The sequence below is a fragment of the Homo sapiens genome, chromosome 14, assembly GCF_000001405.40.
Source record: "Homo sapiens chromosome 14, GRCh38.p14 Primary Assembly".
In the NCBI taxonomy this organism is placed as follows: Eukaryota; Metazoa; Chordata; class Mammalia; order Primates; family Hominidae; genus Homo; species Homo sapiens.
This window is the reverse complement of record NC_000014.9, coordinates 93,074,229-93,088,687: the sequence shown is the minus strand read 5'-3', so window position 1 is coordinate 93,088,687 and position 14,459 is coordinate 93,074,229. Positions and strand designations below refer to the sequence as shown.

Below are 14,459 nucleotides of genomic sequence, written 5' to 3'. Positions count from 1 at the left end.
GAGACCCTGTCTCTACAAAAAATAAAAAAAGAGGCCTGGTGCAGAGGCTCATGCCTGTAATCCTAGCACTTTGGGGGGCCAAGGCAGGCAGATCACTTGATGTTGGGAGTTCGAGACCAGCCTGGTCACCATGGCAAAACCCCGTCTCTCCTAAAAACACAAAAATTAACAGAGTATGGTGGCGCACGACTGTAGTCCCAGCTACTTGGGTGGCCAAGTAGCTCCTGCTTGAACGCGGGAGAATTGCTTGAACCCAGGAGGTCAAGGCTGCAATGAGCCGAAATCGTGTCACTGCACTCTAGCCTGGGTGACAGAGGGAGACCCTGTCTCAAAAAAAAAAAAAAAACAAAACAAAACCAAAAAAGAAAAGATGCAACCATTGTACCCACCCAGTGGTTGCTGAGATCCAGTGTGAGGGGGACGAAGTGCCTGGCACTCACAAATCCTGCCCCGCCACTGCCTCGTCTGTCCCTGTTTCTGCCTGGGACAGGGAGAGCAGGCCTGGGTGGGGAACGAGAGAGCTCGGGGATTACTGGTGTTAGCCTCTCATTTATTTGGGTCGTGCTCAGGCCCCTGGAATCCTCTCTGAAACTGGAGAGTCTCTCGGGTAGCCGATGAAGCGCTGCCTGTTTTAGGGTCAGGTGCCTGGGCACCTCTGATGGACCTCAGGATGAGCCCAAGTGTCAGTAATTATCACCCAGCTCCCCGGTTTGCAGCCAAGGCTTCCAGGCCTGGAGCCTTTGGTCTCCAGCACCCAGTTCCCCCACATCCCTTCCCTGGGCTTCTTTCCCGCCATTCCCATCAGGGACCCCTGCGGCCATGCTGGGCTGTACCCAGTGCCCCTTGGGAATCTGCGGGTACCGTGCAAAGCTGTGCTGTGCTCCTCCCCATCAACTCCTCATTGACTGTTGAAGGCCCCTACAAACTCCTGACAGGTCCTCATTCATTCCTGCCTGACACATGAATGCTTCCAGGCGATGTCTGAGAATCCTGGGATGGCAGAGCTGTGGGAGCCTTGGGGTTGTGGTGGGCAAAGTAAGGCCCCTGCCACTCCCCACCAAAGACAGCAGGTTCTAATCCTCAGAGCCTGTGAGTGTGCTGCCTTACATGGTAAAAGGGTATGACATGACTACAGATGGGATTTTTAAATTTTTATTTTTCAGAGATGGGGGTCTCACTGTGTCACCCAGGCTGGAGTGCAGTGGCTATTCACAGGTCTGATCATAACGCACTGCAGCATCAAACTCACGGCCTCAAGTGATCCTCTCGCCTTAGCCTCCCAAGTAGCTGGGATTATAGGCATGTGCCACTGCTCTTGGCTTACAGATGTGAAGGAGTGAGGCATCTTGAAATAGAAAATGTTCCTGCATTACCTGGGTGGGCCTGGTGTAATTACAAGGAGGCAGGAGGGCCAGAGGAGATGTGACAGTGGAAGCAGAGGTTGGGGTGTTGTGGCCACAAGCCAAGGAATGTGGACAGCCTTTAGAACTAGAGAAAGCGGAGGAATCGATTTCTCCCTGGAGCCTCCAAAAGGAAGCCTGCCTCTGACCTCAGAACCCTAAGAGAATAATACATTTGTGTTGTTTTTAGCCACTACTGTTGTGATTTGTTACAGCAGCAATGGGAAGTGAATACAGTTTTCTCCTACCCTGCTCTTCTTAGGGCTTGTGGGTGAATCTGTGACTGAGAAGGGAGGGACTGGGTCAGGGTCAAGGTCAAGGCCAGAGCCCATGTGACCCGACACCTTGGGACTTTCCTTTGACCTGCCATCCCGAAAATATCTGAGGGGCCAGGGAGATACTCCAGTAAGGTGCCTTGTGGTTTAAGTTTTCTGAGATGGGGTCAGGGCTGACTCATGCCTGTGGCTGGGGGGCCCCAGGAAACCCCAGTGCCCATGACCTGGTCTTTGCCTTTGCTTCTCCTGGTGCTTAGCAGGCCTTCTCTAGCGTGCCCTGGCAGCCTCCCTCTCCCTCCCCTCCAGGGCCTGGCTCACACAGCAGCTCTACTGAAACTTCCCTGTGCCTCCTGCTGTCCCCCAGGTGTTTGTGCTATTTAAGGGCCTGTGGCACACCCGCCAGAGGGCATGGCATGTAGCCCACTGGTCTGCCCTGTGGCAGCTAGCATCTCGGGGCAGGGTTTGCGGTCTGGGGTCCCCCTCTGGTCCCAGGCCAGCCCAGTGCGTGACAGAGAAGCCCAGCAAATGTTTGACCAAAATCAGACCAGGAAACTCTCGCTGCCTGTGGTTGGAGGTGCAGCAGCAGGGCAAAGACAACTAAACTTTAAGGGCTTGGGATCCAGGGACCAGGAGCTGCCCCCAGCCCTCAGGCCAGGTAAGGAGTGTTGGCAGCAGAATTTGGGTGAAGTCTTTCGGTCTCCTCTGGAACACAGCCTTTCAAAGAGTGTCAGCATCCAGGACACAGGCTGGGGACACACACACTTATGCTGCTATTTTAGGAGTGTGGGGTACCTTGAGGATAGGTGCTAGAACAATTCAGGCTTTCCTGAGCAGGCTTCTCCCTCCCCCAGTGAGTCCAAGGGAGGGAAATGTCACGGGAATTTCTGCCTCCCTTCCTGCAGTAGCCTACCTTGCTCATTAGGCTGATACTAAATGACTTTGCATTCTTGGGATTAAGAAGCTGCTGTGAAGAGAACCAACTGAATCATTAGCCCTGAGGCTGGCTGGCTGACGGAGGAGGGGGAGTGGGGGTAGCGGGGAGGGGAGGAGGTGCTAGAACCAAGCCTGCCAGCACCCCCCACTACCTCCCTCTCCCAGCAGCCAACTCCCCTGCTTCCCACAATTTAGGTCCCATCCCTAATTAGGGGAAAGAAAAATTACCGCACCTGCAAGGGGATAGTAAAAGACTCAAAAACAATTTCAAGTCGAGAATTTCCACACTAAAAAGCGGGGATGTCGAGAGCCATTAAGGGAATAGATTTAACGTTTGTGATCAGCAAGAAGTCAGGATGATTCCTGATCTGAAGTGGTGGCCCCTTGGATGTGGCAGAACACTGCCTTGCGTGATCTCCTGCCCTCGCCTCACTTCCTCCTTCCTGAAAATTGAACTGAGGAGGGGAGTCTCAAAGGCACCTCAGTTCCTGTGCTGCTTTCAGCCCCTGCAGCTCTGATGACCTCTCCGGGAGGTGCCAAAGGTGGGTCACCCACTCTGTCTCTCTCTTGTGCCTGTTCACTGGGAAAAGCTGCTTCCAGGCACCCCTGGAAGCTGTTCTGGGTCTGAGGGAGTGTACTGACTCAGGCTGCTGTGCCTGCACTGAGGGGCGCCCGGACTTTGGGGCCGGCCTGCCTCCCCTGGGTGGGGCACCCGGTCGGGGGGAGGGTCTTCAGGTAAGGTGGTTGGTGACTCCCCAGTCAAAGGAAAGATGCCCCCACTCAATAAAAAAGACACATGGCAGCTTCCAGTTTATCTGGTTCTTCCCTAGAGCTGTCCAGACAATTCAAATGTTTGTACTGGCTTTAAAATTCTGTTCGTATGTTGTCTTTATATCGGGCCATTTCAGTTTCTGGCACTGTTAATAGGAGGAAAATCCAAATTACCAAACAATCAGCAAGTAAACCAAGATGCCGCAGGGCAGGCGGGCAGGGGTGACACGGGGCTGGAGCCTGGCCCAGGAACCCGGCAGCACTCGGGGAGTGTTTGCAGAGAGCCTGCCAGGCCCAGGGTCTGCAGGGGGCACAGGGATGCTGAAATAAAGAGCCATCTTTGGCCTCGAGGGGCTCATGGTCTGATGCTGAGCATGGAGCAGGCTTCAGTGGAAGCCATTATTCCTGCCTCTTGATGAGGAAGGCACTTGAGCTGCTCTTGGTGGGTGGGCAGGAGTTTGCCAGCTGAGGAAGGGTGCCTGGCAGGGGGATCAGTTTGTGCAAAGGCAGACTTAGGTCAAGCCTTGGCATTTGGAGATTGGGGTCCCTCCTGGGAGGGTTTGAGAGGCTGCTGCTGCCTCCCCCTCGTGTCTTCTGAGCTGCACCTCCAAATGCCCATGTGGCAGGTGTTTTGCTAAGAATTTGGGGCTGTGGACACAGGGCACAAGCTGTGTCCCTGAAAGAGTGCTTGTTAGTCAGGATAGGCCAGGTTAGGCTGCAGTGACAAGTAGTGTCGAAAGGCTGGCGGAAATAGGTTTACTCACAACTCATTCAGCATGCACTCTGGATCCAGAGACTCTCGGGGGCTGTGGTCTGCCCTGCAGTGGCTCAGTGTGTATCCCACTTCTTAAGTTCAGCACTGTGGACCTTTTGTGCTGGATAATTCTTTGTTTTAGGGGGCTGTCCTCTGCATTACAGGGGCCCTTTCCTCACTGGATTCTAGTAGCACTTTCCTCGGTGTGACAATCAAAAAGCTCTTCAGGTGTTGCTAAATCTCCTTGTGGGGGACACACAGTTGCCCATAGTTGGGAACCAGCGCTAGCTGGAGGTCCTCTTCATCAGTTGTTTCTTTCTGGTTCCCAGCCTGGCTTCGTCGCCACTCAGCCCGCGTTGTTTCCAGGTGGCGGGTCTGGCTGGCTCTGCTGGTGGGTGGCAGCCTCATGTGCTTCCTTGTTTCTGAGGTCAGGGAGGCCTCGGTGCTGGCAGTGGAATGCTTTTTCCAGGAGGGGACATGGTCACCTCTGTTCACATCTCATTGCCCAAGGCAAGTCCTGTGGCCATGCCTGACTGGGGGCAGGGACAACACAGTGGCACTGAGTGTCCAGGAGGGAAATTGCCGGCTTTGATGGCCACCATTGATGTTCACCACCGAGCATTAGCCTGGTGGGGTCAGTGCAATGGAGTCCAGCAGCCTTTCTCTCTGCCCAGTGCTGGGTGTGGGCAGCTTGGGGCAGTGGGGCCTGAGGAGGGTGGGAGCCAAGGCAGGTTTCTCCAGAGGAGCTGACCTGGGGGGTCAGGTGGTGATGTGGGGATGGCATTTGAGGAAGGGAACAGTGTGGCCATCAACACACATGGGTGACGGGGCTTAGTCATCTGTTTAGGAGCCCCAAGTCCTGGGGAGACATCCTGGGCTTCTGTGGGGTACGGTGTGGGCCCTGCCCTCTGCAGGCAGGGAAAGGGGACCATAACTTGGGGCTTTTTCCCCAGTGCCTGGTACCTGGAGGTGCCAAAGGGTCTTGTTATTTGGGGTGCCTGAAATCAGTAGTTACTGAACTGTGCCACACGTTGCTTGGATGAGGATGTGCCTGGCTTCCCACTTCCCCGAGTTGTTCTCCGTAGAACCTTCCTCCCTTGCTTCTTCACCATTTCATGTACTTCACTTGCTGCAGCGCTCAGGTCCCCACCCTGCCCTGGGGAGGGCCTCTTGGGTGGGAAAGGTCATATCCTTTTAACGGATATGAAAGCTGAGACCCCGAGCGGCTCAGCAGCACATCCCATGCCTGCTGCTGGTCATGGTCCCTGAGCCTTTTGTGCCCTGCTGTGCTGTGTGGCAGGCCTGCTGCTGGATGGGGTCTGTCATCCCAGAGTGTCTTGTGTTAACCTCCTGACGCCACACCTGGTACTGTGCTGCAGTGGCTTGGTGGTGGCGTGGATGCCGTGGACGTGTCTCTGCTCCTCATCACTCTTTTCTACTTCTGCCCTGATCATCTTTATTGTTTTCCCTTATCATCCCCTCTCCCTCAGTGCTGGGTCATCCAGAGTAATTTTCATCATCTTCAGAAGTGGTAACCACTGTCACTCACAGGGTCCCTGCTGCTCAGCGGCCAGCGACAGAAAGCTTTAGCTGGCTTGAGCAGAAATCTGCAGCTGAAGGTCTAGAGAGGACGAGCCCCACTGCGGCCGGGTCTGGCCGGGGAATTTGCCCTCCTGGAGCCCTCTTGGCCCTTTCTCCTGGTTGGCCTCTGGCTCATCTGGATTCTCGCCACATAGAAGCAATGGTGTCCTCCAGCATTTCCAGGCAGTGCCATTTGTACTGCAGACAGTCCCCCAGGACCCGTCCGGTAAAGGACCAGGACCGGCTTGGCTTGGGTCCTGCTCCCATGCTGCTGCTAAGTGAGGTGACAGGTCATGTGCCCACCCCTGGAGTGGGCGTGCCGCCCCCAGTCATGTGGACTGGAGGAGGCAGTTCTGGAAGGGTAGGAAGGCAGGGTGGCAGGGCAGAGTGCAGGTCACAAGACCCCCATCCCTGGCATGAGCCAGGTACTGTGCCAGGCCTGGACTCTGTTTCCCTTAAAGCCCGTGTGGGATGAGTTCTAGGATTCTCCCATTTTACAGATAAGAAAACAGAGGCACAAGGTACAGGGGGGTCTGGTTCCATGTTCTGCTCTCAGGGGCTCACCCACCTCTTCCGCTCCTGCCTACGCCCCCGAATTGTGTTCATCTAAGCCTCTGAATGCTGCGAAGCTCAGTCCTGGGCTTCTAACCACTTCCTGGCACCACCACGGTTGAAAAGTGGACTGCTGCTGCCTTCTTGCAGTGTTCTCTCGTCTCCTGGGCCTGGCGCAGGGCCTCAGTCTGCTCCTTCCAGACTGTGAGCGTCACAACTATTTCTGGTTCTTAGGTTTCCTTTACCCTTTTCCCAAGACCTGCAAGGGCTGCCCCCCACCCCACCCCTGCTATGTCCTCCCCTAGCAAATCAGATCCTGCTTCCACTGGTCACAGAGAAGCACATGGAGTCGCTCTTGTGGACAAGCAGCTGTCCCCATACCCAGCTGCTCCTGAGCAACACCCGGAGTGCGATGAACCCTGAATCCTTCCCAGGCCCTGCCCTAGGCCTCCTGGATCAGAGGCCTCAGGGTGGGCCTCGAATGAGGATTTTTGACACGCTCCAGTGGTGGTTCTCAGGTTATCTGCCCTGGCATTTGGGACCCACTGGCCCATAGGTAAAGGCTGGGCCACAGGGTGACATCCTGGGCCTCTGAGGCGTGCCCCACCTTTATCCTCTGTCCTGCGTCTCAGCCCCCGCCCCCTGAGAGGGCTTTAAGCTTCCAGAGCCCCAGACACCCTTTGGGGAGGGCGCAGGACTCACCTTACTCCTCTCTAAGTACTCTTCTCAGCACCGGTCTGTAGTTACCCTTCAGTTGCTCTGCCAGATGGCAAATGCTGCCTCCTCTTTGAAGCCTTCCTTTATTGCCAGCCTCCTCCTCTGAAAGGATCGAATCATTTTGTGAGTATTTTCACTTCCTGAAGGGTTCGTGCTCCTTGGACTTCTGGGGACAGGCTTCCCTGTGCAAAGCGGATCATCCCTTTGTTAATAATCCAGCTTTTGGAAAAGCATGTTTATACTTAGCTATTCCTATTTTATTAATATTCATATTAATATATTGTATTTATATATTAGTGTAATATTTATCAATACAATGACAGTTTAGAGCCTGTAAAATTATTCGCAGGTGCAGGTTTTGTGTTTTTTTTGAGACGGCATCTCGCTCTGTTGCCCAGGCTGGAGTGCAGTGGCACGATCTTGGCTCACTGCAACCCCCGCCTCCTGGGTTAAAGCAATTCTCCTGCCTCAGCCTCCCAAGTAGCTGGGATTACAGGCACCTGCTGTTATGCCCAGCTAATTTTTATATTCTTATAGAGACGAGGTTTTACCATGTTGGCCAGGCTGGTCTCGAACTCCTGACCTCAGGTGATTTGGGAGGCCCACCTCGGCCTCCCAAAGTGCTGGGATTACAGGCGTGAGCCACCATGCCCGGCTGCAGGTTTTTAATGAAACTTAAAAATTATTAAATTGTAGGCTGGGTGCAGTGGCTCAGCCTGTAATCCCAGCACTTTTGAGGTCAGGAGTTCAAGACCAGCCTGGCCAACATGGTGAAACCTTGTCTCTACTAAAAATACAAAAATTGGCTGGCATCATGGCAAATGCCTGTAGTCCCAGCTACTCGGGAGGCCGAAGCAGGAGAATTGCTTGAACCCAGGAGGCGGAGGTTGCAGTGAGCTGAGATCATGCCACTGTACTCCAGCCTGGGCGATAGAGCCAGACTCTGTCTCAAAAAAAAAAAATGTAACTTTTATTGTTACTTTCCCTATAGTTTTGAGGGTAGCGTATATGTTCATTGTAGAAAATCTGGAAAACACAGGGAAGTATGAAGGAAAAACCACAGCCCCGTGGCCACAGTTAACACTGCAGCACACGCACCTCAGTCTGTTTTCCAGGTATCGGAATGTTTCCACGGGCTTAGAACCCATAGCGAGTGCTGCAGCCTGGTGGTCCCCACTGCAGGCATCATTTCAGCTCCTCTTTGGGACAGCACTTGGAAGCTTTTCATGATACATCCTGAGCTCTGCTGTCTTGTGTCCTCCATTGATCGATTGCTTCGTGCTTTTATCAAGCATCTATTTAAGAAACAATTAAAAAATATATTTTCCAGTTTTTGATAACATGTTATAGGCACATGGCACAACATTGAAGCAATGTATGAGGGGACACAGTGAAAAGGAAGTCCCTCGGCCACCCCAGCTGCCCTTGCCCTTGACCAGGGGCCCTGCCATGATTGTTTTCCTGTAGCGCCCTCAGGTTCACTCTGTGTGTACACAAGCACACATGCTTGTCCTGGATGTTGTTCTTAACACAGATAATTATCTACAGCACACAGGGTTTTGCATCTTACCTGTTTCACACAGCAACGTCTTGGAGATAATTCCTCGTGGGTGCATGGAGGCCTTCTGTGTTCTTTTTTACTGCTGCATACTATTCCTTTGACTGTGTGTGGTTTGTTAATGTCCCCTCTTGGGGGAAGTTTAATTTGCTGCTAGTGTTTTGCTATCACATACAGTTTGGTAATTAACAGGGCAGAGCCGGAAACATATTGCACACTTGAGCCTGTCTGTGGGGTGATGAGGTGGGATCATGGAGCCAGGGTTTTCAGGAGGAACAGTCACTTGACAACCAATGCTCTGATTTGTGTTCCCTCCTCCTGTCTCCCATGTCCCTTCCTTCTCCCTCTTCCCCTTTGGCTTCATCATTCAATTTCTGAACTTTCTGGTTATGGCAGGACTTTAGGAACTTGCTTCTTGGGGAATCGAGGTTGTTGGTGCCTTTGCTCTGCACGAGTTTCCCAGTGAAAAATGAGCCCCGACAGGTTGTTTTATTTTCCCGAGAGGCTGTGGTGGTGCATGTGGGATTCCACCACCAGAGGGGATGCAGTTTTCCGCTGCCACCTCCTGGTCCTTCCATTGCACTGAGGCCCTGGAGGCTGGAGACCAGGCCTTCCAGCTTGGTGCCACCCTTGCCCACGGTGGTGCACCTGGTGGTGAACACGTGGGTGTGGGGAGAGCCCTGTTCCGGGCCAGCTCCTGCACTTCCTGAGTCTCCCAGGCCTCGGCCTGCTCTGCAGGTAATGGGGTAACCACTGTCCCACCCTCATGAGGCTGCAGAAGGTATTGGTGAGTGGTGAGCTTCAAGGGGTGTGTAGCATACGTGGGTGGCCCCCTCTTTTCTGCCACTGTTGCAACTTATCCTTTTTTTGGAGCTCTGAGCGACAGAGGAACTGCTGTGGCTCCTGGGAGATCAACCCCACTTAAGATTGCAGCCGATCTTTTCTCTAGATTACTTTTTTGTTGCTTTCTTATTTTATGTGTTCCATCTGTTTTCAGTGAGAGACTGTTTTTTTAGGACTAAGGGAGGGAGAGCTGCCTGGGATGATGTAAAATGTGGACTGATTGGAATTGACCTCAGTAAAGAGAGGAGAGTCACACGCTGGGATAACCCAGATGCCAGCAGGGTTGACTCAGAGGGAAACCGAGGCCCTGGCCCAGAGCCCAGTGGAAGTCTGCGCTCCTCTGTCACCGGCCTTTCCCATTGTGCGGTTCACAGTCTCGGTGATTTGGGACTTGAGTTTTCTGTCCTGGAGCAGGGCCGCTGGAGTTTGGGCTGGCTCCTCAAGGTCCTCTGCTGTGTGTCCTGGGTCAGGTTCCCGTCAGTGACGCTTCCTTCAGTTTTCTCGTCCCTGCGGGGGGAGGGGCAGGATGATTGGGAATGAGGCAGGGGCTGAGGTGTCCACAGGTGCTCAGAAACGGTGCAGGTTGTGAGCGGGTGGTTGGGTGTAGCACAGGTTCCTCATGATGCTATCTGTCACTGTGCTGTGGGCTGTGGTGGCCCAGGGCTATGCTGTTGTGTATCTCCCCTGTCCCTCATGAAACCGTGGAAGCAGATGGATATTGGCCACCATTCCTACAGGAACTGCAGACAAGCTAAGAGACACTGAGGGTCCCTGAATGCCTCAACCAGGGTGGTTCTCAAACTGGATTCCTCGGGGCCCAGGTTTCTGTTGAGGTGTCGGGGGTTTGAGGGAAGGTGGGCTGGGTGCTTCCCACAGTGGGACCTGGTCAGCTCTCCTTGGCCTCTGTCTTCCTGTCTCATGGAGTGGCTCCTTTGTGAGGTTCCGCTCAGTGCCTTGCTATCAGAAGGTGTTGAGGAAGCCCTCACTGAATGAGCTGACAAACAGATGTAGGAATTGGTGGGCGGCGCCTCAGCTGTGCCATGAAACAAGGGAGCAAGGGTGCCCAAAGGTTCCTGTGGGGCTTGTGCCCATCTCCTCCCTAAGACCTTGAGCCTCTCAAGGGCCCAGACTGTGGAGGTTGCATTTGTTGTACCCTCCGAGTGCTGGGCCCAGGAGCTGAGCTAAATTGTTACACATTTACACCTTCATCTGCCAGCAGCCGTTGAGGAGTGTCTGTGTGCCAGGTGGGCATCATAATTGGGCACGGGCACACATAGCTTTAAAGTTTGGCATAGTCCCTGCTCCAAGGAGCTTGGGTGAGTAAACCACACATTCCTGACCTTGCCTGGCTGCAGCCATCTTTGAGCATCTGCTGGAGGCCTTTCTTCCCAGCACAATGTGCACAGTATGCTGTCTTGGGTGCCTCGGTCCCTGCAGGTCCTGGTGGCCCTACACCAGTGCTTGTCCCTGGCTCGTAGCAATCAATACCCCAGAACAAAGGGCCGAGACAGTGGTAGCCTTAAGTTCTTCCAGGTTAGGAGGCGTCCTGGAGAGGCTATGCTGAGCCGAATCCTCAAGGCTGGGGTGGGAGGTGGGCACCAGGGCCAGGGAGGAGAAAGCCCTGTGTGCCAGAGCTGCACAGGTGGGCACTTCCTGGGCCCACAGTAAGAAATGTGGGATGGGGGAGGCTGGACGTGGTGGCTCGCGCCTGTAATCCCAGCACTTTGGGAGGCTGAGGCAGGCGGATCACCTGAGGTCAGGAGTTTGAGACCAGCCTGGCCAACATGGTGAAACCCCATCTCTACTAAAAATACAAAAATTAGCCGGGCGTGGTGGTGGGTGCCTGTAGTCCCAGCTACTTGGGAGGCTGAGGCAGGAGAATCGCTTGAACCCGGGAGGCGGAGGTTGTAGTGAGCTGAGATCGTAACATTCCACTCCAGCCTAGGCAACAGAGTGAGACTCTGTCTCAAAAAAAAAGAAATGGGTCAGGAAGAGAAGGGTAGGAGTCAACAGAAAGCCTTTGTGTGTTCTGGGCAAACCCCGACCCAGGCCATGAGGCTCCTAAAATTGGGTGGCAAGAGTCAGGTTACGTGGTGGCCGTGGGACTGCATGTGAGCGGGGAAGATGTAGAGGACATGAGTGCAGCTTGGAGGCTGTTGGCGAGGCCAGGGCAGGCATCAGTGGAGCATTGGGAAGGCAGCGGGCAGGACTGTGTGGGCCTCCCGTGTGTGGCAGTGGATGGGTTGGGGCATGACTGGCTGTGGCAGGTCCTGGGGCGAGACCTGATGGGGAGGACATGGGGACCTATGGGGGTTGAGCTCGGCAGGGACGGCAGGTGGTGAGGATGGTGGTGAACTTGGTGGCAGGGGCCTTGGGACGACCCAGGCTGGAGCTCGGCTGACAGAGGCCCGGCCCAGGAGTGGAGGGAGGTGGCTGGCGTGGGGCCTCCAGAGGACTCCAGCAAGTCCCTCTGCAGAGCCAGCCCTCTCAGTGGGAAGGTGGTTTGAGGAGTGGCTGGGAGTGGAAGGCATGGCTGTTCTGGGACAGTAGCAGGAGAGGCGCAGCTGCCGGCTCCCTCCTGAAACCCTCTCATGGTCCTGCCCTCAGCCGGCTGTCGGGAACCTTCGGAAAGGACGTGTCCAGCCTGCTGGAGTAACGCTTGTTTTCTTTGTTTTTCTCCACAGGAAGCGAGGGATGGAGGTTGTGCAGGTGAGTACAGACCGCGTCCCCGTGGTTCTTTGGGTAGTGGGGCCCTTGGTGCCCACCTCTCTGTCTCTCCTTCTCTCCTCCAGCATTGGGCACGGCTTTCTCTCTTCTTCACGTGCAGCTTGTTTTTAGCTCCCCTGTGGATTTGATGTGGTTTCTGCCCTGGCCTGGGCAGACTCCGACAGGGGCTTCTCGGGTTTGGAGGGTTGCTGTGGCTTTGTCAGTGGGGAGAGGGTTGGTTTGGGAGTCCTGAGGGGGGTGTGCATGGCAGTGGTCAGGTTAGGGTGGGTGTGGGAAGGGTGAGGGGGCAGTAGGCACCCAGCTAGATGTCCAGTTGTCTTGTGCTCTGTGTAGCCTCACCCTGGGTGGACTTGGTTCAGGTGCTCATTAACTAGAAAAAGAAGGATGGATGGAAGAAGAAGGAAGAATGGATGGAGGGGGAAGGAAGGATCTTGGAGGGAGGGGAAAGGTGGACAGATGGAGGGAGAAGGAAGGATGGAGGGAGAAGGAAGGATGGATGGAGGGGAGGAAGGATAGAAGGATGGATGGAGAGAAGAGGGAAGGATGGATGGAGGGGGAAGAAGGAAACATCAAAATACTCTCAGACTCTATGTGAGGGGCAGGCTGTGTTATTTGCACTAAAGGCTGTACCTGGCACCTAATGGGTACTTGGTAAACCTGATGGTGGCCTGGCCATGTCCTCTGTTCCCCACGCTGTCCCCGTGGAGGGTGACTGTGGTCTGTGCAGCTGGGCTGGCATCCCATCTCCTTGTCTTACGGGCCTCATCTGCCTGTAGCTGCAGAGAGGGGAACTCAAGCTGGGGACTAGATCAGGGCAGTGGAGGTGCTGGCCCCTGCTAGAATATCTAAGGGGCTTTCAAAAAGCCCACTGGGGAGCTCTTCCAGCCCACCCCTGTTAACTTCAGCTCCAGGCCTTCCCTCAGCGGTCATAGGAGAGCAGCGTCCCCATTCCTGCAGGTTCAGCATTGCAGGCCCCAGGTTTCCCCTGCTCCTGGGACCAGACTGGGGCTGGTTGACGGGTGGGGCTGGTAAAGGATCCTCCTGACCTCCCTCCTGGTAGTTTGTGGGTTGAACTTGTCACTGGAAGACTGAGATTTGTTTTGGGGTAAGGAGGTAGTTTCTGGAAGCCTCTCAGCAGCTCTAGGTTTTTGTCCAGGCTCTTCTTGGCTCTGGAGAATTGCATGTTCTGCACTAGATTTTTCTTTTTTCTCTTCCTTTTTTTTTTTTTTTTTTTTTTTTTTTTTTTTTTTGAGAAGGAGTCTCGCTCTGGAGTGGAGGCTGGAATGCAGTGGAGCTATCTCAGCTCACTGCAACCTCTGCCTCCTGGGTTCAAGTGATTCTCGTGCCTCAGCCTCCTGAGTAGCTGGGATTAGAGGCGTGTGCCACCACACCCAGCTGGTTTTTGTGTTTTTAGTAGAGATGGGGTTTCACCATGTTCCTCAGGCTGATCTTGAACTCCCGACCTCAGGTGATCCACCCACCTCGGCCTTCCAAAAGTGCTGGGATTACAGGTGTGAGCCACCGCGCCCAACCTGCATTGAATTTTTCTGTGGGCTTTAATTTCTCCATCATCAAGTGGGGGATACTGGAATTCAGGAATGGCTTAGGGGTGTGTGTTCAGGGACCATTTCTGTTTGATTGGTTTTGGCAGCCTGGAGGATCCTAAATCTGTGAGTGGGTGGGAACAGGGGTTGATCTGTAGTGCCTGCCAGGGGTACAGGCGTGGAAAGAGGAGGTGTGGTTATTCATCTCATCACGGGGTTAGATGGTCTCTAACCATTGCACCTCTAGGATGCGGTGGCTTCTATTTCCCTTTTAGCCCTCTATGATGGTTCACTGGGAAATCCACGGATCCTTTACAGATGCTGCTTTACCCACAATAAGCCTGAGACTGACAGCTGGGGCTCACTGTGCTCAGGAAGGCCCCGGGTTGCCCTGTGGTTCCGCCCAGCCACTTGGGAGGGTCCATGGGGGAACTGCTGTGGGAGCCATTTTCAGAGGAAGTGAGTTCAGGCGCTCCCCAGCAAACACACTGCCTGAGAGGGCAAGACAGCCTTCCCCCATGCCTGATCCTGTCCATACGCGACCTCAAACTGTCACACAGTGGGTGTCACCCCCACCGCTCGAGGAGAGGATGAGAGATGGACAGGGGTCGGCGGGTTTCATTTATGTGGCATTCTGGGAAGATTTAGACTAAAATCTTTAATCCGCTCGGTCTGTGGGAGGAACAGGAGACTGGAGCCATTGTGTCAGAATGTCCGGGGCAGAAGAAGCATTGCGAAATCTTTCTAGACATGTATGCTGTTCATTTAGGTGGTGGCTTGGGGGAGGAAGTGGTGGCTGGGGAC

At 54.3% G+C, this 14,459-nt stretch overlaps 1 protein-coding gene across 4 annotated transcripts in view, besides 4 other annotated features; it reads left to right on the top strand.

Moving 5' to 3' along the window:
• ITPK1 (inositol-tetrakisphosphate 1-kinase) overlaps window positions 1-14,459 on the top strand; it is a 179,012-nt gene that overhangs the window by 27,238 nt on the left and 137,315 nt on the right. For 3 of the 4 annotated variants that reach the window (NM_001142593.3, NM_001142594.3, NM_014216.6), the window contains exon 3: window positions 12,069-12,093. The exons of the other annotated variant lie outside the window; for it this stretch is intronic. In NM_001142593.3, coding sequence (NP_001136065.1) covers window positions 12,069-12,093 — 25 coding nt within the window. The remainder of the gene's footprint in view (window positions 1-12,068; window positions 12,094-14,459) is intronic. 4 annotated transcript variants of the gene reach the window in all.
• Window positions 305-926: an enhancer, noted in NCBI's record as "H3K27ac-H3K4me1 hESC enhancer chr14:93554107-93554728 (GRCh37/hg19 assembly coordinates)". NCBI's record gives its function as "activates a minimal SCP1, AML or CMV promoter by ChIP-STARR-seq in primed H9 embryonic stem cells {active_cell/tissue: H9 hESC(primed)}" and the evidence as "EXISTENCE:reporter gene assay evidence [ECO:0000049][PMID:30033119]".
• Window positions 3,422-4,045: an enhancer, noted in NCBI's record as "H3K27ac-H3K4me1 hESC enhancer chr14:93550988-93551611 (GRCh37/hg19 assembly coordinates)". NCBI's record gives its function as "activates a minimal SCP1, AML or CMV promoter by ChIP-STARR-seq in primed H9 embryonic stem cells {active_cell/tissue: H9 hESC(primed)}" and the evidence as "EXISTENCE:reporter gene assay evidence [ECO:0000049][PMID:30033119]".
• Window positions 9,855-10,423: an enhancer, noted in NCBI's record as "H3K27ac-H3K4me1 hESC enhancer chr14:93544610-93545178 (GRCh37/hg19 assembly coordinates)". NCBI's record gives its function as "activates a minimal SCP1, AML or CMV promoter by ChIP-STARR-seq in naive H9 embryonic stem cells {active_cell/tissue: H9 hESC(naive)}" and the evidence as "EXISTENCE:reporter gene assay evidence [ECO:0000049][PMID:30033119]".
• Window positions 11,232-11,745: an enhancer, noted in NCBI's record as "H3K4me1 hESC enhancer chr14:93543288-93543801 (GRCh37/hg19 assembly coordinates)". NCBI's record gives its function as "activates a minimal SCP1, AML or CMV promoter by ChIP-STARR-seq in naive H9 embryonic stem cells {active_cell/tissue: H9 hESC(naive)}" and the evidence as "EXISTENCE:reporter gene assay evidence [ECO:0000049][PMID:30033119]".